A 23,002-nucleotide genomic window follows, 5' to 3' on the forward strand; every position below is an offset into this window, starting at 1 on the left:
GGAGCTGCAATCCTTTGGAGGAGAAAAGGTGCTCTGATTTTTAGAATTTTCAGCTTTTCTGCTCTGGTTTCTCCCCATATTTGCAGTTTTATCTACCTTTGGTCTTTGATATTGGTGACCTACAGATGGGGTTTTGGTGTAGATACCATTTTTATTGATGTTGATGCTATTCCTTTCTGTTTGTTAGTTTTCTTTCTAACGGTCAGGTCCCTCAGCTGCAGGTCTGTTGGAGTTTGCTGGAGGATGACTCCAGATCCTGTGCACCTGGGTATCACCAGTGGAGGCTGCAGAACAGCAAATATTGCTGCCTGATCATTCCTCTGGAAGCTTTATCCCAGAGGGGCACCCCCCTCTATGAGGTGTCTTTCGGCTCCTACTGGGAGGTGTCTCCCAGTTAGGCTACACAGGGGTCGGGGACCCACTGGAGTAGGCAGTCTGTCCATTGTCAGAGCTCAAACGCTTTGCTGGGAGAACCACTGCTCTCTTTAGAGCTGTCAGACAGGGACATTTAAGTCTGCAGAAGTTTCTGCTGCCTGTTGTTCAGCTATGCCCTGCCCACAGAGGTGGAATCTATAGAGGCAGTAGACCTTGCTGAGCTGCAGTAGGCCCCACCCAGTTCGAGCTTCCTGGATGCTTTGTTTACCTGCTCAAGCCTCAGCAATGGCGGACTCCCCTCTCCTAGCCAGGCTGCAGCCTTGCTGGTCGATCTCAGAGTGCTGTGCTAGCCGTCATCAAGGCTCCATGGACATGGGACCCGCCAAGCCCGGCACTGGAGAGAATCGCCTGATCTGCGGGTTGCTGAGACTGTGGGAAAAGCACAGTATTTGGATGGGAGTTTCCCATTTTTTCCAGGTAAAGTCTGTCACGGAGTCCCTTGCCTAGGAAAGGGAAATCCCCTGACCCCTTGTGCTTCCCAGGTAGGTCGATGCCCTGCTCTGCTTCAGGTCGCCCTCCGTGTGCTGCACCCACAGTCCCAACAAGTCCCAGTGAGATTAACCAGGTACCTCAGTTGGAAATGCAGAAATCACCCATCTTCTGCCTCGATCATGCTGGGAGCTGCAGACCCGAGCTGATCCTATTCGGCCATCTTAGAACGGATCCCCGGTCCTCTTTAATTTCTTTTAGCAATGTTTGAGAGTTTTTAGTGGACAAATCTTTCACCTCCTTGGTAAAATATATTCCCAATTTTTATTTGTATTCTTTTGAATATTATTGTAAATGGAATTTAAAAAAATCTTTTCAGTTGTTCATTGCTTGTGTGTAGAAACACAACCGATTTTTGTTGGTTGGCTTGTATCATGAAAATTTGCTGAGTTTTGTTATTAGCTCCCATAGGTTTTTAAATAATTTTGACAGATTTTCTATATACAGGATTATATCATCTGCAGATATAAATAGTTTTACTTCTTTCTTTCTAATGACAATGCATTTTTTTTAATCTGCCTAATTGTACTGGCTATTACTTCCAGTGCAATGTTGAATAGCAGTGTTGAAAGCAGACATCCTTTTCTTATTTCTGATCTTAAGGGGAAAGGTTTTATTCTTTTACTATTAAGTGTAATTTAGTTGTGGGCTTTCCATAAATACCTTTTATCATTCTGAGGAATTATTGTTTCTAGTTATTGCTTTCTGGGTGCTTTTATTATGAAAGTTTATTGGATTTTGTCAAATGCTGTTTCTGCATCAACTGAGAAGATTATGTTATCTTTTTTCATATGTATGTGTATATATGTGGTATATTATATTGATTGGTTTCTATAAATTTGGTAGTAATGTCTCTACTTTTATTTCTGATGTTAGTTATTTGCATCTTTATCTGTTTTCTATTTATGTATTGCTTAAAGTTTGATAATGTTGTTGATCTTTTATATGAATTATATTTTGGTCTTTAAAATTTTTTTCCTATTGCTTTTCTATTCCCTATTTTGTTTACCTCTGTTCTGATCTTAATTTTTCTGTTCTTCTGCCAGCTTTGTGTTTAGTTTGCTCTTTTGTAGTTCCTAAGAGTGAAAAGTTGTGTTATTGATTTGAGAAGTTTTATTTTTAAATTTATGCATTTGTTGCTGTAAAATTCCCACTGAGCATTGTTTTCACCATATTTTATAAGTTTTCATATGTGGTGTTTTGCTTTTCATTTTCTTTGGGCTATTCTCTAATTTACCTTGTGTTTTATTCTTAAACCAATTGGCTGTTTAAGAGTGTTTTCTTTAATTTCTGCATACTTGTAAATTTCTCAGTTTTCCTTCTGGTGTTGATTTCTAGTTCATTTCATTGTCGCCAGAGATAATCCTTTGTGTGGTTTTGATCTCTTTACATTTATTGATACTCATTTTGTGCCTTAAATATGTTCTAGGCTGAGCATAGTGGCTCATACTTGTAATCCCAGCACTTGGAGAGGCCAAGGTGGGAGGATCATGAGCCCAGGAATTTGAGACCTTCCTAAGCAACATAGTGAGACCTTGTCTCTACAAAGAAATCAACAATTCACCAGGCATAGTGGTGTGCACCTGTAGTCCTAGCTACTCAGGAGGCTTAGGTGATAGGATGGTTTGAGCTAGGGAGATTGAGGCTTCAGTCAGCTGTGATCATGCCACTGCACTCTAGTCTGGGCAATAGAGCAAAACTCTATCTCAAAAAAAAAAAAAAAAGATCGATTCTATTCTGAAGAATGTTCCATGCTCATCTGAGAAAAATATGTATTCTAATGTTGTTAGGTGGAGTGTTCTATATATGTTTACTAGGTTTAGTTTATAGTGTTTTCCATGTCCTCTCTTCTCTTGTTGATCTTCTTTCTAAATGTTCGATTATTATTGAAATTAGAACATTGAAGTCAACTATTATTGTAAATTGTCTATTTCTCCCTTTAATCCTATCAGTGTTTGCATATAATTTTGATTCTGTTGCTTTGTGCATGCATGTTTATAATTATTATACATTCTTGTTAGATTGACCTTTTATCAATACAAAATGACCTTCTTTGTTTCTCATAACTTATTTTTTCCCTTTCTTATTTTCTTTTAATTTTTATTTTTATTTTAAGTTCCAGGGTACACATGCAGGATGTGTAGGTTTGTTACATAGATAAACACGTGCCATCGTGGTTTGCTGCACCTGCAACCCATCACCTATTAAGCCCAGCATGCATTAGCTATTTTTCCTGATGCTTTCCCTCCCCCTGCCCACCCCCAATAGGCTCCATTGTGTGTTGTTCCCCTCCCTGTGTCCATGTGTTCTCATTGTTCAGCTCCCACTTATAAGTGAGAACATGTGGTGTTTGGTTTTCTGTTTCTGCGTGAGTTTGCTGAGGATAATGGCTTCCAGCTCCATCTATGTCCCTGCAAAGGACATGATCTCCTTCCTTTTATGGCTGCATAGTATTCCATGGTGAATATGTACCACATTTTCTTTATCTGGTCTATCATTGATGGGCATTTGGGTTGATTCCATGTCTTTGCTATTGTGAGTAGTGCCACTTCTTTTAACTTAAAGTGTTTTTTTTATAATGTTAATATAGTTACATCATCTCACTTTTGGTTACTATTTGCATGGAATAGCTTTTTTCATTATTTTACTTCCAAATTATTCAAGTCTTTTGTCTCTAACCTAAGTCTATTGCGAATATCATATAGTTGGGTCGTTCATTTTGTACATTCTGCCAGACTCTGTTGTTAAACTGATGATTAAGTCATTTATGTGTAATGTGACTACTAATCGGAAGGACTTCTGCTATACTGTATTTGTTTTCTGTAAGTCATAATTTATTTGTTTCTCAATTCCTCTAATACTGACTTTTTTGTTTGATTTTTTCTAGTGTATTATTTTGATTCCCTTCTAATTTTGTTTCCTGTGTATATCTTAGTTTTTTTATAGTGTTCATGATGATCATTACAATAGGCATCCTAAAATTAGATCAACCTGGTTTGAATTTATGCCAATGTAGCTTCAATTATGTCCAAAATTTGTTTCTGTATGGCTTACTTCTTTATGTTGTTTTTGTCACAAATTATATCTTTACATTAATCTAATACATTAACATGTATTGATAATTTTTGTTTCATTAATTTGTCTTTTAAATCTTATTGTAAACAAAAAGGAATTACTAACCTAATATTAATAATATTTGCTTTTATATTTATTTATATAGTTACCTTTACTGAAGTTTTTTTATTTCTTCATGTGGCTTCAAGTTACTGTCTAATGCCCTTTTATCTCAATCCAAGGGACTCTCTCTACCATTTTATTAGAGTCCTTCTACTGGTAATGAATTTTCTCAGCTTTTCTTTATCTGGTAATGTCTTAATCTCTGCTTATTCTTGAAGAATAGTTTTACAGACAAAGAATTTTTGTTTAACAGCTTTTTCTTTCAGGATTTTGAATAAGTCAGCCTACTGCCTTCTAACTCTTATGGTTTCTGATGATAAATCATATCTTTAAATTATTGAGGATCACATTTATGTGTGATGCATTATTGCAGATCACTTCTTTCTTGCTCCTCTCAGGATTCTCTCTTTCTCTTGGCTTTCAGCAGTTTGATTATAATGTATCTAGTTGTGGAGCTCTTTGAGTTTATTCTACTTGGAGTTCATTGGCCTTCTGGATGTGTAGATTCAACAGTCTATCAAATTTGGTATTTTACCATTCAGAACATACACATGGGCAAAGACTTCATGACTAAAACACCAAAAGCAATGGCAAGAAAAGCCAAAATTGACAAATGGGATCTAATTAAACTAAAGAGCTTCTGCACATCAAAATAAACTATCATCAGAGTGAACAAGCAACTTACAGAATGGGAGAAAATGTTTGCAATCTATCCATCTGACAAAGGGCAAATATCCAGAATCTACAAAGAACATAAAACAAATTTACAAGAAAAAAACAAACAACCCTATCAAAAAGTGAGCAAAGGATATGAACAGACACTTCTCAAAAGAAGACATTTATGCAGCCAACAAACATATGAAAAAAAAGCTCATCATCACTCGCCATTAGAGAAATGCAAATCAAAACCACAATGAGATACCATCTCACGCCAGTTAGAATGGCGATCATTAAAAAGTCAGGAAACAACAGATGCTGGAGAGGATGTGGAGAAATAGAAATGCTTTTACACTGTTGGTGGGAGTGTAAATTAGTTCAATTATTGTGGAAGACAGTATGGCGATTCCTCAAGAATCTAGAACCAGAAATACAATTTGACCCAGCAATCCCTTTACTGGGTATATACCCAAAGGGTTATAAATCATTCTACTATAAAGACATATGCACACGTATGTTTATTGTGGCACTGTTCACAATAGCAAAGACTTGGAACCAACCCAAATGCCCATCAATGATAGACCGGATTCAGAAAATGTGGTGCATATACACCATGGAATACTATGCCGCCATAAAAAAGGATGAGTTTATGTCCTTTGCAGGGATGTGGATGAAGCTGGAAGCCATCATTCTCAACAAGCTAACACAAGAACAGAAAACCAAACACTGCAAGTTATCACTCATAAGTTGGAGGTGAACAGTGAGAACACATGGATACAGGGAGGTGAACATCACACACTGGGGCCTGCCATGGAGTGGGGGGCTGGGGGAGATAGCATTAGGAGAGATACCTAATGTAGATGATGGGTTGATGGGTGCAGCAAACCACCATGGCATGTGTATACCTATGTAACAAACTTGCACGTTCTGCACATGTATCCCAGAACTTAAAGTATAATAAAAAAAATTTTAAAAAAGAAAACAAATTGGTATTTTTTGGTTGTTATTTCTTCAAATATTCTTTCCACCCCATTCTCCCTTTTCTCCCTTTTGGACCTCCATAATGCACATGTTGGTATGCTTGAAGGTGTCCCACACAACCCTTAAGGTCTGTTTATTTTTTGTCATTCTTATTTTCTGTTAGCTCCTCAGATTTGGTAATTTACATTGTCCTATATTCAAGTTCACTAGTTCTTTCTTCTGCCAGTTCAAATATGCTTTGTATCCCCTCTAGTGAAATTTTCATTCAACTATTATACTTTTCAGTGTCAAAATTTTTATTTTAGTTCTTTTTGTAATGTGTTTTTATTGGTATTATGTTCAGAAATCCTTTTCCTGGTTTTCTGTAGCTTTTAATTTTTTTAAGGTTTTCTTTTTAACCTCTGTGAGCCTGTTTAAGCCAGTTGATGCAGCTGGACATGGTGGCTCATGCCTGTAATCCTAGCACTTTGGGAGGCCAAGGAGTGGGGATCACTTGAGGTCAGGAGTTCAAGACCAACCTGGCCAACATGGTGAAACCCCGTCTCTACTAAAAATACAAAAATTAGCTGGGCATGGTGGTACATGGCTGTAGTCCCAGCTACTCGAGGATGGCTTGAACCTTGGAGTCAGAGGTTGCAGTGAGCAGAGATTATGCCACTGCACTCCAGCCTGGGCGACAGAGCAAGACTCCATCTCAGAAAAAAAAAAAAAAAAGACAGTCTTTGTCTAGGAAGTTGAATGTCTAGACTTCTTTGTGGATAATTTTTGTTTATTTTTTCCTGTAAATAGGCCATACTTTCATGGTTTTTTTTTTTGTATGCCTTGTTTTTTGTTGAAAACTGGACATTTTAAATGTTATGTGGTAACTCTGAAAATAAGAGTTTTCTCCCCTCCCTAGGTTTGCTGTTGGTGCTTGTTATGAGCTGTGGGCTTTCATTTGTATAGTGACTTTTCCAAACTAATTTTTGCAAAATATAGAATTATTATTTTGTGTTGTTACTGAAGTCTCCATTTTACTATTTCAGTGGTCAGACAGTGACCTGGCAGGGATAGTTTTTTTTTTTTTTTTTTTTTTGTGATGTCTAGACAAAAAAATTAAAAAGGAGAAAAAAGAAAAAAAGAAATGAAAAAACACACAACACAAACACGCACACACACTGCTAGTCAAGTCTTTACAGATCGGTTTTGAATTTGAGAACTCCTTCAATGCTAATATGAATGTATATTCTGTTGTTTTTGGGTAGAGTGTGTGGAGTGTTCTGTAGATATATGTCAGGTCCCCTTCATCCAGAGCTGTATGAGGTGTCTGGTGACCTCTGTTGGGAGGTCTCACCCAGTCACGATGCAGGAGATCAAGGGCTTATTTAAGGAAGCAGTCTGGCCCCTTGGCTAAGCAGGTGAGCTGTGCTGGGGGGAATCCCACTCTTCTGGATTGTCCGGATTCCTCAGAGCTAGCAGGGGGACTGACTAAGTCCTCTGAATGGGAGACTGCGGCTGGCCCTACCCCCAGGGGCTCTGTCCCAGGGGGATCATAGTTCTGTCTGTAAATCCCTGGCTGGAGTTGCTAAAATTCCCGCAAGGAGGCCCCGCCCGGTTAGGAGGGATGGATCCGGGTCCCACCTATAGAAGCAGTCTGTCCATGATTGGTCACAGCTGCTGTGCTACACTGTGGGGAGTTCCTACTGATCCAAACCGCCCAGTCTCCTTGGCACCCACAGGGGATAAAGGCCTACTGGAGCCCCAGTGATGGCAGCCAACCCTTCCCCCCAGGAAGTCGGTCATCTTAGGCCATCTCCAGCGTGCTGCCCCTGGGCGCAATGTTAGCGGCCGCCAAGTGTCTGCACAGTTCTGTGCTTGGGACCCAAGGACCTCCTCTAGTTTTAGATATCGCTCTGCTGCGAACTTACTGGAATATCTTGCGCAAGTGCTTGTTTTTCTTTCTAAACTTCAGTGTTCTCATTTGTCAGATAAAGAGAGTTTGCAATTATATGACCTCTTGCAACTTTGATTTGTGGAATTCTATTATCCAGCAGGCAAAACAGTAGACATTGGGTGTGACTACCTGTGCCAAGAGGTGTGAAAAGTGGAATGACCGTCCTCATATTGCATATGGACATAGACATAGTTTTTTATATTGAATGCCTGGGCTAAATCAAATAACTTCCTTGTTCTTTAGTTTGCCTATCTGATATGAGAGCAGAATCAAGGACTAAGAAATATTTTAGTTAGTTGTTTTAGAAATCACATATTTCCCCAAGTTGCCTCAGGCAAAAGTGAAGGATATGTGGAGTGGTAGGAAAAAGCATTACAATTTTATACAGATCAAAGGTAGCATAATATAAAGAGTAACATAAAGAGTACTTAAATTGGCATCAGAAGCGTTGGCTTCCGTTTTACTTTTTACTCACTACGCTGACTTATATTGTGTGTGGTCTTTTCTCCACACTTCAGTTTGTCTCATCTATAAAATGAAAAAATTATACAACTCTTTGTTTCTTGTCAAATTTTAAAAAGTTTGAATAGTTATGGATTTCCTTGAATGTATACTACATATGGGAGGAATTTTCTATTTGTGGTAAGATTATGTTTTTCTCTTAAAATTATTTATTTATTTATTTATTTATTTTTTTGGCCAGGCACGCTGGCATGTGCCTGTAATGCTAGCTACTCTAGAGGCTGAGGCAGGAGGATTGTTTGAGCTCAGGAGTTTGAAACTAGTCTGGGCAACATAGTAAAACCCCATCACACACAAGAAATCATTTTTTAGGTAAGTCCATTTAAAAAATATATTAAGTAAAAAATAGTCAAAGTCATGAAGGGGAAGGTTAGATAGTCTCTGAATTCTTTTTCTGAGACTCAAGTCCTGATTTATCTCATTCTCAAAATGGAAGCCAACACATCTGGAAAGGAGCATCTGCTGAGGATTTTTGTTATTGAGTCTAGGTTTGGCAGTTGACAGCTAAAATTTCTTTAACATACTGGAAAACATGATCAAAGGAATCTTTATTCCCTATGCATTTTGGAGTGATGTTGTTCCCAGTTAATTAGTGATAGAAGTGGACCTTACCATTCACAGGTGTAGAACAAGCAAGCTGGGAGTGCCCTCAGGCCATGAGGGCAGGCATTATGTAGTAAAATATCTTTCAGTGCACCAGATATACCTTTAGTAAACTGATGTGGTACCCGGCTAAGCAGGATCGAAAGCTGATATTCCCATAATAATAATATCATTTAGCAAGTACTTACCTTGTGTCAAGCAAGTTTGTAAGAACTTTATATGGAATATCTCATTGAATATTCATGACAACTCTATAAAGTAAATACTGTTATTACCACTTTTTTCAGATGAGAAACCTGATACACAGAGCAAGTAAGTACCATACCTAAGGTCACAGAGCTAATAAAGAGAAGAGTTAGGCTTCAAGCATCTATCTTTTCTGTTCCATGTGAAAGCTATTCCATTACTGAATTCTCCCACTAAAGTTACCAGGTTCACTTTGTTAAATATGAATTCATCTAACTGATGGTCAGCTTTTGTATAGAACAGCATTTCTTCCCTGATTTGACTTTTTATTCTGTGCTTTCTTAGCTCTTTGCCTTGGGGCCCAGACTGCTTCTGCTCTAAAATTAAAGTTGTTACTACATGGCGTGAAACTGCTTTGGCAGTCTGAGGTCCAGCATCTGGCCAAAGAGATCCTGGCTGCAAGCCTGAATGCTCATATGGAGCTGTACCTGGCAGGAACAGGTGTGATGAGGAGGATCCAGCCCGGGATTCTGAGAGAAAGGCTGGATCTGTTGCAATATAGTATTTATGAGAGAGAAGGTAGCCTGATGGGATCCAATGAGAAGAATTGATGAAAGAGCTAGTGAAAAATAACTACCCTCATCTCCATTCAGTTGAGAGCTAATTCTGAAGTCTTTTCACCCTGGTGGCCTTTTCTGCCAGAAATCAGTGTTATAGCCAGAGGCCCAGAATTTGCAAGTTCCTGAAAAGGGCCTGGAAAGCTGGAGGAGGAATGGTCATGAGAGAAGATGGGCATCAGCTGGATGTGGGATTTTTTCCCCCAGCTTTATTGAGGTATACTTCAGAAATAAAATATTGTCTATATCATGGTATACAGTATGATGTTCTGATATATATATATATATATATATATATATATATAGTGAAATGATTCCCACAATCAAGATAATTAACATATCTATCACCTTACAGTTACCGTATTTTCTTTTTTTGTGTGTAGTGAGAACATTTAAGATCTACCCTCTTAGCAGATTTCATGTATACAATGCAATATCATTAACTATAGTCACCATGCTGTACCTTAGCTCACTAGGCATTTGAAATGTTCTGCCTTTAAAATACCTTAACAGTTCATAAACATTGTAACATGTTAGAACTCTTATCTATACTTTCTTTGGTGCAATATCATGCTTTAATAAATTCCTAACATGAGTTCTTGAGTGAACTTTCTAATAAGTTAGAACTCTTGGCCAGGCATGATGGCTCATGTCTGTAATCCCAGCTGTTTGGGAGACTGAGATGGGAGGATTACTTGATGCCAGAAGTTTGAGACCAGTCTGGCCAACACAGCAAGACCCCTATCTCTATTAATTTTAAAAAAGAAGGGAAAAAAAGTAGAACTCTCCAAGCCATGAAATACCTTGTGAGAACCAGAGACTTTGATATAACAGTCCTAACACATTTCAGTACAAGTAACTATCCTCCCATTTCAACTTCCCCCTTATATACATTTGAACTTGCTCATGAACATTAGCATGCTCCTTTTTGAAATCAAATCTATTCAACAAACATTCCCTGAGCATCTGCTCTATTGCAAGGCTTGTGCTGAGTGCTGAGCAGGAGATGCAAGTGCCTTAGACAAAATTGAGGTTTTGTATTCACTGAATTTTTGCATTCTGTGACAAAAGCATGATCCTGTCCTCATAGAATATATAGTCTACCCTGGCTGCTCTATTGTGCTCTATCATCTCTGGGGGAAAAAAAAACAGAAAGAACCTCAGTTTGCCATTGATTTCAGCTTATTCCTCAATCAGAACTGTTCATTAGGAACAGTGAAACAATTATTCTACATTCTTATTAAATATGCCACTTTCAGATACTCATATGTAAAATGTTAAATTGTTCTGAAGCAAGACAACTGCAGGACCAACACATTGGATCATGTTTTTGATTAACTGTCTTTTAGTGTTTCTTCAAATTCATTTATCTTTAACTGTTTAATCTAATCCTTGTGTCAGTGTGGGGCAGCAGTGAAGTCAGACTGCCTAAATTTAAGTGCTAACCTCTGCACCTCTGTTTTAGTCCATTGAGCTGCTAGGACAAAGTACCATAGATTGGGTGGCTTATAAACAACAGAAATTTATTTCTCATGGTTCTGGAGGCTGGGAAGTCTAAAATCAGGGTGCCAGAATATTGGGTTTCTGGTGAGGGCCCACTTCCTGGTCCTGGTATGGCAGAAGGGGCAAGCAACCTCTCTAAGGCCTCTTTTATAAGGGTGCTAATTCCATTCCGTGAGGGCAGAGCCCTCATGAAATAATCACCTCCCAAATTTTCTACCTCCTAATGCCATCAGCTTGGGACTTAGGATTTCAACATAAGAATGAGGGCAGGAAGGGGGGACAAAAATCAGACTATAGCAATTCCTAATTGTATGACCTTAGACAGTTAACATTTCTCATACTCAGTTTACCTACCCCACAGGGCTGTTGTGAGTTGCAGAGGAGCTAATGTGTGTGTATATATATAAAGCACTTAATACAATATCTGGCACCTATTGCTCAATATAAGTCAGCTATTACTGTTAATATGCGCTATGAGAATGGAGTTGGTGAATTCCATTAGGCCATAAACAACTCAGAAAGTCAGATAAACCTTAAATGGTCTGAAATAGAAGTTATAAATACTTATCATTACTATTTGTATTATTCTTAAGTACATTTTATGTATCGATTTCTAAGGCCCTCACAGTCTTATTTTCACTTGTTTACTACAATGTTTGTATGAGATAGGTAGAGTGGAGATTCTGACCTGAGTTAACTGAGGCCTAAAGAGACTAGATGATTTGTTTAGGGTCACACTTGAAAGCCTAAGTCTCCTAACTCTTAATTTCAAATCCTTCCACTAGATTTTAGATTTGCACTAAAATCTCTTAGTTTTTAGTGCAAATGTTATTGTAATTTAATCATCAATAAACTATAATGGAAAAACTTCTTCTGGGTGATAAAATTTTGCCAATAATAATGTTCTTCCTTCTGGTTACATAACGCAAGCTTTTTCTGAAGCAGTATACAGCTCTGCTGGTCTGAAGTTTCTAATTTAGATTGTTTTTGATTGTATTTATATATTCATTTGTTGTATATATGTATATTTCAGTCACAAACTTTATATAGTTCACATAGGCTCATAGTTGGGAGGAGGAAGGGCAGGATGTAGGAAGTCTCAAATAGGAGGAAATTCCTGGAGAAGGTGTAGATAGAGAGAATGTTGTATGTAACTCTGTTTTGCAGGACCCAGGATAGCTTTTCTTAAATCTGTGAGGGATTATCTTATCTGAGCCATGGAATCAAAAGTATTTGTCATAGTTTGAAGAGAGGAGGCCTGTATGTGAAAGACAGAAGGAAGAGAAGTTAAAGAGACTGATCTACTTCCCACAGAGCCTTCTTTCCTCCTACTGGGGTCCGCTTTGACAGAAGAGAGCTTTTATTTCCTTTGCTAAAGTGGGAAAAGGAGGAAGAGGGTCATGGTGGGAGAATGAAAAGGTTGCCTCTGTCTTTGCTGCCTGATCCCCAAAGAGCCTAATGGGAGAGCTGAGGAGGCATCCCAGGGGAGGCCAGCTGAAGCAAGCTGGCTGTGACAGAGCAATCATCACACCAGGTTCCGCTTATTATTATTTTTTGAGACAGAGTCTCCTTCTGTCACCCAGGCTGGAGTGCAGTGGCGTGATCTTGGCTCATTGCAACCTCTGCCTTCTGGGTTCAAGCGATTCTCCCGTCTCAGCCTCCCAAGTAGCTGGGACTAGAGGCGCATGCCACCATGCCTGGCTACTTTTTGTTTTTAGTAGAGACGAGGTTTCACCATATTGGCCAGGCTGGTCTCGAACTCCTGACCTCATGATCCACCCGCCTTTGCCTCCCAAAGTGCTAGGATTACAGGTGTGAGCCACCGCGCCTGGCCTATTTTTAGTGATTTTAAAAAAACTTTAGGTTTTGGGGTTGTTTTGTTGTTGTTTTAACGTAGTCTAGTTTCTGTAGGCTGACTAGTTTCTCAGTTACAGAAGGGGCTGACTTCTCCAGTGTGCCTGCAAGCAGAAGAATGGGTTGTGCAAGTTTAGGTCTGGATCTGCATAAGGTAGGAGCCATAAGGTAGTACCCAAGTATTCTTTGGGTACTAGAAAATTTGGAAGTCCACGTAGTTGATGGTTACTCCATTTCGGCCCTTTTACACTAGCGGAGGGTGTTTAGAAAGGCTATATATATATATATTATCCTTAGTTTTTAGTTTAAAAGTATCTTTGGAAACTTTACTTTTAACTAATCTGGAATCTACAATGTAAGTCCCACAGTATGCTTGCAGTGCAAATAGAGCTCCAAAACTAGTCTTTTAGTCTCCTACTTTTTTTCCAACCCAACTTACCTAAGCTCTTCCGATGTGGGAATTCTGGATGCCACCACTGCCTTGTCTCCTTTTTCTTATGCCACCCAATCCGAACCCTGATGCTAACAGTGCCCAGCTTTAGGTAGAATGTCCAGGGACTTCAAGCTACAGCCCTCTTGAAGGCTTAGGATTTCATTTTTCAGCTTTGGTAATACAGGAAATTTTCCCTGAGTTTTTTCGACTTTTAAACAAACACTATTTCCCACTATTCAGCTGACCTTTGTGCAGTGGCTAAGCTCTCCCTTAAGGAAGAGACCATTCCAGGCAGCTGGCCAGGTGTCCAACTATTTGTCTGTGCTCTTGGTTCCTGCATGAAGGGCTCAAAAGAGAGATGAAAGAGAAAAATGTCCCCAGCCTGAATGGCTTTACCCCATTTCCTCCATTTATACCAGCTCTCCAGAAATTCCCATGGTCTCTTAGGCCTTGGGATGAGTGTTATTGCTAGCTCCAGAAACATGCTTTTGGTCATCCCTTCCTGCTGCCACTCACTCACCCACCACCTAGGGCCTTTCCCTCTTCTTTTGTATGAAGGTGAGAGAAAAAGAGAATATGCCCCACCTCCTCCCCTTTGAGGCTCAAGGAAGCATAAATTCTGGGTTTTAGAGGGCATGTTTCCAAGTGAGGGTGAGAGTTTGACCTTTTTCATTCTTTCTCAAGTAATCCTGCTAGCTTCTGAGCAGGGTGACTGTAGCATGCCCTGGACCTAAAGAAAACACTAAATTCCGGGCCGAACACAGTGGCTCACGCCTGTAATCCCAGCACTTTTGGAGGCCAAGGTGGGCAGATCACGAGGTCAGGAGATTGAGACCATCCTGGCTAACACAGTGAAACCCCGTCTCTACTGAAAATACAAAAAATTAGCCGGACGTGGTGGCGGGCACCTGTAGTCCCTGCTATTCGGGAGGCTGAGGCAGGAGAATGGCGTGAACCCGGGAGGCGGAGCTTGCAGTGAGCCGAGATCCCGCCACTGCACTCCAGCCTGGGCCACAGAGCGAGACTCCGTCTCAAAAAAAAAAAAAAAAAAAGGAAAACACTAAATTCAGACACCACACACATAAGGCTTCCTGCCTATGACTGTGAAAGGGATAATCAAGAAAGGAAAAGATAAAGGGCAAAGGAAGGAGAAAGGATGGAGAGAAGGGCTGGAAAGGAAGAGGTTGGAGAAAGAATAGCCTGCAGTTAGAGAAAAGGGAGAAAAGTGAAGAAAGGGGAGAGGAAAGAGAACGTTTCTGAGTGGGCAGGACTGACTTGTCTATTGGCATTATTTATTGCTTTTGGACTTATATCCTGACTCCTTTAGTTTTCACGTGGCTGTAATTTTATCAGACTGCCCTGAAAGCTCAGTTCTTCTGACCCGGAAATTCTTTTCCCAAAGACAGAGAAGAATTGTGATTTATCTTTTCATGTTTCTGCCTTCTTCAGCTTTTCTTTAGCATCCCAGTAGGATGATTCTTGGAGAAAAGCCACATGGCCCATGTTGGCTGAACTTTAGATTCAAATAAAGGCTACTTGCCACAGCCAGGGCCTGATGGTTTTCATTATTGCCACAGTACCTATGTAAGTTTGATGTGACTTATCATATACTTCAGAAAGTAGTTGATAGTCCTTAGTAACTATGGTCATAAATAGAAAGGTCCTTATTTGAAGGAAACACTCCTACTTAATCCCAGGAAAAATCATTTCCAACTGTGTGTGTGTCTTTATTGTGCAAACCCTTGCACTTAGTAGATACTCAATAAACATTTATGGAATCAGTATCTACATCTGCAAAAATTGGGTGATAGTTTTTTCTCTGAACATGTTTTGAGTAAAATTTCATAATTTTTGTTATCATTAAGGTTGTCATTGCTTGATTATTCTCTACTCCTTATTAACTGAAATGATAATAAAGCCATAAAGGTTTATGAAACACTCACTAGGACATTAATAAAATTTGTTTTGTGCCCTGCCTTGTGGTATGGGCTGTGGGAGGGGTGAAAAAGAATACTCAATGACAGTTAATGGTCTATTTGAGGAGGTAAGACTGACATATATGAAAAAAACAAAATGTGAACAAATTATACTTGGAAGTCAACATGCCAAAGTGAAAAAGTTTGGGAATGTGCCAAATCTGGATTCCAATCATGGCCCCACTACTTATCAGCTGAGTATCTTTGGATGAGTGATTTAACCTTTTTCAGCATCTGTTTATTCCTCTGTCAAAATGATGCTACCATAAAAATGGGAAATAAATGACATACAATATGCAAAATATATGATACTTGGTATGCATTCAATTATACTGATGATAGTATTAATAATACTGTTCTGATACTTTTGTACAAACCTACTTTAAGGAGAGATGAAGGAGTTTTTTCTGCTCTATGATAGTGGAACATTTCTAATGACTTCATGTGTTATTTTTTAATTAAAATATTAAGTACTTTTAAATAAGGGGGAGAAAAATTGAGGTTTATTATTGAAATTTTTCATTTGAGCTTCCTGCTTTAAGCCCTATTCACATGATAAATTTCTGTGTACCTATGCTTTCTTTTTCTTGTAATGTTACTCCCTGGAGTTGAACTTGCTTTATATATATATTTCATTTTTAATAGAAACGGGGTTTCACTATATTGCCTAGGCTGGTCTTGAACTCCTGGGCTCAAGTGATCCTCCTGCCGAGGCCTCCCAAATTGCTGGGACTACAGCTGTGAGCCACCATGCCCAGCCTTAACTTGGTTTTAAGACCTCTGATTTGCCTTGCCTCAATTACCTCCTTTCTTATTTTCTTTCCTTTGTTGACTCTCATACTCTGTTCTCCTAATTCTCCCCCTTTTCCACTCCCTGCCCACCCTGAAAGACACACACACACACAATAAGTGGGTGGAGTAAGAAGTCAACGGAGTTGGATATAAGCATTCCTGCTTTTCTGACATCTCCAGTGTCTTGGAGAACAAGGATTCTAGAATGAGGGCTCCTCATTATGCTTCCTTTCAACATTTTTTCTCTGTGTTACTTAAGCTTTCACCCCAAGCATGTTTGACAGAGAGCCAGTGCATTCCCCTTACTTTTTACAAAAATAAAAAAAGAAAGAAAAAGAAAGAAAGAAAGAAAAAGAAAGAAAGAAAGAAAGAAAGAAAGAGAAAGAAAGAAAGAAAAGAAAGAAAGAAAGTTACCGATCTTAGTAGACCAAAAAGCTAAACTTATGAAAGTCTCAATTCTGGGCACAAGCCTGAGATAACCTCTAAACTCTTTAAGGTTGTAATTTATCTAGACATTGGATGAAATAAGAGGACTTGGGCAGAGGGCACTAATAGAAGCATAAGAGAAAGTTTGGTTAAAGGAAGGGATTGATAAAAGGGATTATTTCTAAGAAGAGTGGTGAGGTTTCACTCATTAAGGAAGGAAACATTTTATAAATAAGTTATTAACTTTATAAGTAAGTATAAAGCCTTGTTTCTATATTTATTCTCCATATAATATTTTACAAAAGTGGCATCCAATTTAGCTGACCCCTTCTCAGACATTTCTGAAATCTACCTAACTCTAAGATGGGATACTGTGACTATTTCCACAAATAGATGCTGAACTAAAGAATTATTTTTCCAGGGCATTAATGACATTTTGGTAGAAAATAGTCTTTGGTCAAATGACATCGTGGGACAGTAATAATAAATTTAATGAAGCATGTCCTATGTGACAGGCACTGGTCCAGCACTTCACATTTTAAACCATTATGATATACATTTTACAAGTGAGGAGACTGAGGCCAGAAAAGTTAAGTAACTCCCTTCCTGCTAGCTCAGCGTACTTCCTAGGGTTTGGGGAATGATGAGGTGAGAGTATGCATATAAAGCACCCACAGTGCCTGGTACTTATTATTTACAATACATTGTAGTTATTTTTATAATAGTCATTGATTTTGTTTTTGTGGTTTTGTGATTAATGGTAACTCAGAAATAGGACTTAAAGCAGGAAGCTCAAAACAAATGAAATGTAGGCTTTGCTCTACATTTTTGTTTCTCCCTAATGCTTTTTACACTCATGCTATAAAATTACATTTGTTTATTGCTTACATTTCCCCACTAGAATGCAGGCTTAATGAAGGCAGGGATGTGTACCTGTTTTGTTCATTGAGGTATCCAAAGTGCCTAAAACAAAGTTTCACATATATTAGAACCTCAGTCAGTTTTTGTTGAGTAAATAAATTGCCCAAGGTCGTACAACTTGGGAATAACAGAGTCTAGATTTGCATGCAAACAAACTGGCTTCAGTGACCAGTCTCTTAACTGCTAGTCTATACTATGTCTCTACCTGAAGTACATGAATCGTTTATCAATTTCTGATGCCATATAAAACATGATGCTTTTCATTCACAGCTGCCTTTATAAACCGTAGGCAATTGTGGCCTATAGAGAGAGAAGTCAATGGAGTCTTCTGCATCATTGCCAAGGGATTTTTCTGGGAGAATTTCCAGTCTGTATCAAGTCTCTGTGGGCTCAGTTTAGCCCAGCTTATGTATACTATGGTCATTCTGGGTAAAGAAGGGTGATGTCATAAAAACTTGTGCATTGTCTTTTAAGTCTTGGCTATGGCTAAACCCAGAGAAAATGATTTTTTTTATGTCACTGTGACCTTTTGGTGTTCATTTCTTTCACATTCTCATTCCCATTTCCTGAGTCACAAGAAGAACTCTCTTAATGAAGATCAAAAGTCAGAGGAAGCTCAATTGTAGATTTCATTCAGAAATGAAAATGCACTACAAAACCTCTTCAGAAGCCTCTTTCTACACTGAGTTGATTTTAGGCTAACAGTCAAGTGGGCAGGCTTGATTCAGATGACAGCTTAAAGAGCCCTCGTGTCTGAGTCACTTCAGTGTCTGCACCAGTTTTCCAGTTTTTGCCTTCATTACATTAGTATGGATTAGGGTATGATCAGCAATACTTTTTCCACCTGCACTTTTAAGAAGTGTAAAACGTGGGTGGTGGTACTTTTAAATTAGAAGAACAGATGTAGCAGACATGACATCTTTTTCTTTCACTCCTCCATCCTCATAGCCTAGAGACATCAGATGCAATCCTTTCTCATTTGCCTAACCTCTGAAAACAACTTCTCAGTGTCTTTCTTAGACTAAGGGGTGCCTCTCAGAGGAAGACAGAAACAGCTATTCATATGAAAATGTCTAGAGTCCTGGGGAGTGTAATGTGTCTGTCCTATACTAAAGATGGAATAGATACCTTGACTTTATTTTTAAAATGGCAACTAGACAAGAGGATTCCATGTGTTCCAATCTACATGTAACAGGGCATGGATAATGTAGCCTGCTCCCTCCAACAGGTTATGAGGCCTTCAAGTCACATTTGCATTCCCTATCATTGTCTGGCATCTTTTCTAGTGGTCGGCTATTGTTTCTTATGAGAAGGTGTTTCCCTGGACTATGGTATCTTTCTGTCTGCATCACTGCCAGTAGTTAGGCCTTAAGTAAGTACCTTTTCTCCTTACAGAATATCCATTACTCTAATTGTAAATCTGGAGGAAATATACTGTAACAGGGATAGCTCAAATCTAGTTTATGGGGAAGAGTGTAGAATAGAAATACATAACGGGTTTAGGGTGTGATATACTCTCTGGCACTTACCAGTGCAGTGTTATTACTTGCATAGGATGCTTAACTTCTCTGAACCTCAGCTATATCATGTGAAAATGGAAAAATAATTTGTACTTCCTAGGGTTTGGGGAATGATGAGATGAGAGTATGCATATAAAGCACCCACAGTGCCTGGTACTTATTATTTACAATAAATTGTAGTGATTTTTATAATAGTCATTGATTTTGTTTTTGTAGTTTTGTGATTAATGGTAACTCAGAAAACACTAAAATCATGTAGACTTAATATGCTTGTAGGAAAGACATGAGAACTGCTTATCTTCATCCATTCATCTTAACTTGTCCCAGTCTTAACCTAGCCAAAGCATGACTCAGCGTTACAATGGCTATCACCAACCTTTTCCACCCAGACTTCCCCATTTCAGTAACCTGCAGCTTTTCCTTTCAGTTGATAAGACCAAAAACATTAGATTCATCACTGTGTCCATATATAATAACAAAATCAGCAAATGCTATTGGCTCTAACCTTAAAAAACAGAATATCCTAAATCTAATCACTTCTGTTCACCTCCAGTCTACCATTCCTGATCCAAACTACCACCATCTCTCTTTTAGAATATCATAATAGCCTCTTAACTAATCACTCCTCGTCTATCCTTGCCCCTAACAATTTATTCTAACACATCAGCTAGAGTGATTTTGTTTTAACCTAACTTAGATCAGATCACACCTCCACTCAGATCCCTTCAGTGGCTTCCCATATTATTCAAACTGAAAGCCAAAGTGCTATACCTGACATAAAAGAATCTGCATGATTTGGGTCCTGCTCCCTCTCTGACCCCATCTCCTACTCCCTGTTTCCACTCACTCACTCTATTCAATTCAGAGCAACTTTGCACTTGTCATTTTTTCTGCTTGGAATTCTCTTCCCTCCAATATTTATATGGCTCACTTTCTTTCTCTTTTTCTTTTTCTTTCTTTCTTTCTTTTTTTTTTTTTTTTTTGAGACGAAGTCTCGCTCTTGTACCCAGGCTGGAGTGCAATGGCACGATCTTGGCTCACTGCAACCTCCACCTCCCCAGTTTAAGTGATTCTCCTGCCTCAGCCTCCTGAGTAGCTGGGATTACAGGCGCCTACCACCACGCCTGGCTAATTTTTGTATTTTCAGTAGAGACGGGGTTTCACCATGTTGGCTAGGCTGGTCTCGACCTCCTGACCTCAAGTGATCTACCCGCCTCGGCCTCCCAAAGTGCTGGGATTACAGATGTGAACCACCATGCCTGGCCTACATGGCTCACTTTCTTAATTTTTCAGGCCTCCATTCAAATAGTGCCTCCCAGAGAGACCTGTGTAAAACAGCAACACACTTCCCAGCACTCTCCATCCCTTTTACTCACTCTTAGTTTCTCTGACATATTATATATTGTTTATTGTCCATTTTCCCTAACTAAAATTTAGCTCTATAAGGCATATTGTTTTGTTTATCAATGTATCCCTAGTACTGAACAAATGAAAAATTTGCTGTGTGTCTCTTATGTTTTAAACACTGTAGCACTACAGATAAAACATGAACTCCAGCCTCCACTACAGATAAAACATGAGCTCCAGTGCTAAAACATAGGCCAATCACAGTCGCTTATGCCTATAATCCCAGCAATTTGAGGTGGGAGGATTCCTTGAGCCCAGGAGTTTGAGACCAGTCTAGGCAACATGGTGAGACCCTGTCTTTACAAAAATAAAAAAAATAATAATAACCAGGCATGATGGTGTGTGCCTGTAGTCCCAGCTACTTGGGAGGCTGAGGCTGGAGGATCACTTGAGCTCAAGAGGTTGAGGCTGCAGTGAGCTGTGATCAGGCCCTTACCTTCCAGCCTGAGTGACAGAGCAAGGGCCCTGTATCAAAACAAAAACAAAAACTACTTTAAATGAAGGCTTGTTGGTAATCATTTCACAATGTGTATATATATCAAAATATCATGTTATATACCTTAAAATGTACAATTTATTTCAATAAAGATGGAAAATAATTATTTCATGGAACCTTGCTAAAGCAAACAATAAATTGAGTATCTACAAAGTGTCTATGTTGGCCCTCCAGAAAGAAAAAAAACAGATAAGGGCCAACAAAGAAATAATATAACTATACAATTCCCATTATGCTCAACGCTATACTAAAGGTCTTTGCCAGGTACTGATAGATTAGAATAGGGAGCTTGATGGCATGAAGGATGACAGTGTCATCAGGAGGGTAATGCTTGAGCTAGAATTTGAGCAGAATTTTGAAGGATGAACATTCAGTAAGCAACTGAGGGGTGAAGGGTGGTGGTAAGAGTGGTTCATTGAGAAAGCATTCCAGATGAAGGGAAGAGCAAGTAAAATAACAAGGATATTTAAAAGAGTATAGCAACAGATGGAGAGAAACTTAGGATAGAGTGAATAGGAAGAGCATGTGAAACATACAAAATTCCATTCACTGGAGAGGAGTTCTGATAGACTGAAAGAACTCATGATGGTTTTGAAAATTATTTGAATCATATCCTTTAGGCCTGGTTTATGTTCCTGGGGTCAGTTTATCTTCTACTTTAGGTAAGGAACAGAACAATAACAAACATACTTTAGTATCAATCCTTAGTTCAGCTCACCAGCTTTGGGTAAAATTGTGAATATATCCTTTCGCCAGAGCTTTGGCAGAAAAATCTATTACTTAATTACCTTAGAATACCTTTGCTTGTCAACAAGAGACCATTTTATGCCCCAACTCCCAACCTCAATAGAAAAAAAGTAGAAAATAAAGAAGTATGTCCATATTTGACATAATATAGGAAGGTTTCTCTTTAAATAAATGGCTTAGCATTTATCTGTTTGACTGTTTACTTCAGAGCTGCTTTTAAAGGTTTTGCACCCATCTATAAGTCAGATACTCCCATGTAATGTACCAAATGGGATCAAAACTGAGTCAGTTTTCTAACACTGCATTCAGTCTAGATTAGAAAAAGTTTCTTAAATTGGCAAATTAGATCATAAGAACAAAGCAAAACAAACAAACAAACAAAAAACCCACAGTGTAGTTGGTGTGCAAATGTAGCTGATGAGATTTGGATTGAGTGTCATATTGTGAGGTGTTATGAACTTCTCAAAACATCATTTCTGTGAACACATGAAAATTGAGTGTCTGCAATGTGCAAAAAAGTGTAATCAGGGAGAGAGAGAGAAAAATTACTAGTCATGTACTTAAAAAATCTTATACCAGGTTACACTTTGGGGTGGGGTAAATGGAGTGCCACTGGTAGAGTTGAGCAGTGTAGATGATTCACCTTCCTACACCATCTAGATCTAATCAGTTGCAAAATGAAAATGTCTTTAAATCTCTGTTATATCTGAAAAAAGTGGCAGAAAGGAGACAGGACTAAATTGCACCTCCCACTTGGACAGACAGAACAGGGTGTGGAGACTCACATCATGAACTTTCACTCAAAGAACTACTGCAGGAATAGACCAGAAAAGCTGAGAGAATCTACAGACCCTTTGAAGGAAGAGGATTACTCCTGCAGGACCCGGGAGATAGCCCAAATACTGTGAGTGCCTAAACTGGGAAAGTGGGAAAGGGGGATTGTCCACTCCCGAGCACACACTCTCACTGGGGAACCTGAAGGTCCAGATCGCAGGAGAAGGATATGACCTTAACTGGATCTGAGACAATTTAGAGAGCTGAGCGAAATACAGGGGTAGAGGAAACAGTAGGAAAAGCCCTGTGAGCCATCTGGGTCCCTGGGGAAGCCAGATCTGACTTGTCTCACAGGAGTCCTGTGGGAGGGCTGCCAGAGGAACTGGGGAAAGACCAAAGGGAAAAGGAAACCTCCAGCTAAACTTTGTAACCACTTGAACCAAACGTGAAGTCTCCCGGCCAAAACTCGAGGGAGGGCATAAATCCAGTGCGCAGACTCAACAGGCAAAAAGATGCAAAAGCCATGCTTTCTTTCTCAGCTGGCAGGCTGGTA

The 23,002-nt window shown here is 39.1% G+C and overlaps 1 protein-coding gene and 1 long non-coding RNA gene across 4 annotated transcripts in view, besides 1 other annotated feature; both read left to right on the forward strand.

The window, feature by feature from the left end:
• Positions 1 to 23,002, forward strand: part of KLF8 (KLF transcription factor 8) — a 383,409-nt gene that overhangs the window by 198,640 nt on the left and 161,767 nt on the right. The gene's annotated exons all lie outside the window — the stretch shown is intronic.
• Positions 1 to 23,002, forward strand: part of LOC124900486 (uncharacterized) — a 150,609-nt gene that overhangs the window by 52,278 nt on the left and 75,329 nt on the right. Inside the window, exon 1 of one of the 2 annotated variants that reach the window (XR_007068244.1) lies at positions 657 to 22,579. The exons of the other annotated variant lie outside the window; for it this stretch is intronic. This is a non-coding gene — a long non-coding RNA (uncharacterized LOC124900486). Of the gene's footprint in view, positions 1 to 656; positions 22,580 to 23,002 lie in introns of those variants that run through there. 2 annotated transcript variants of the gene reach the window in all.
• Positions 7,482 to 7,981: an enhancer, noted in NCBI's record as "H3K4me1 hESC enhancer chrX:56140677-56141176 (GRCh37/hg19 assembly coordinates)". NCBI's record gives its function as "activates a minimal SCP1, AML or CMV promoter by ChIP-STARR-seq in naive H9 embryonic stem cells {active_cell/tissue: H9 hESC(naive)}" and the evidence as "EXISTENCE:reporter gene assay evidence [ECO:0000049][PMID:30033119]".

Source organism: Homo sapiens, chromosome X (assembly GCF_000001405.40).
Source record: "Homo sapiens chromosome X, GRCh38.p14 Primary Assembly".
Classification (NCBI taxonomy): Eukaryota; Metazoa; Chordata; class Mammalia; order Primates; family Hominidae; genus Homo; species Homo sapiens.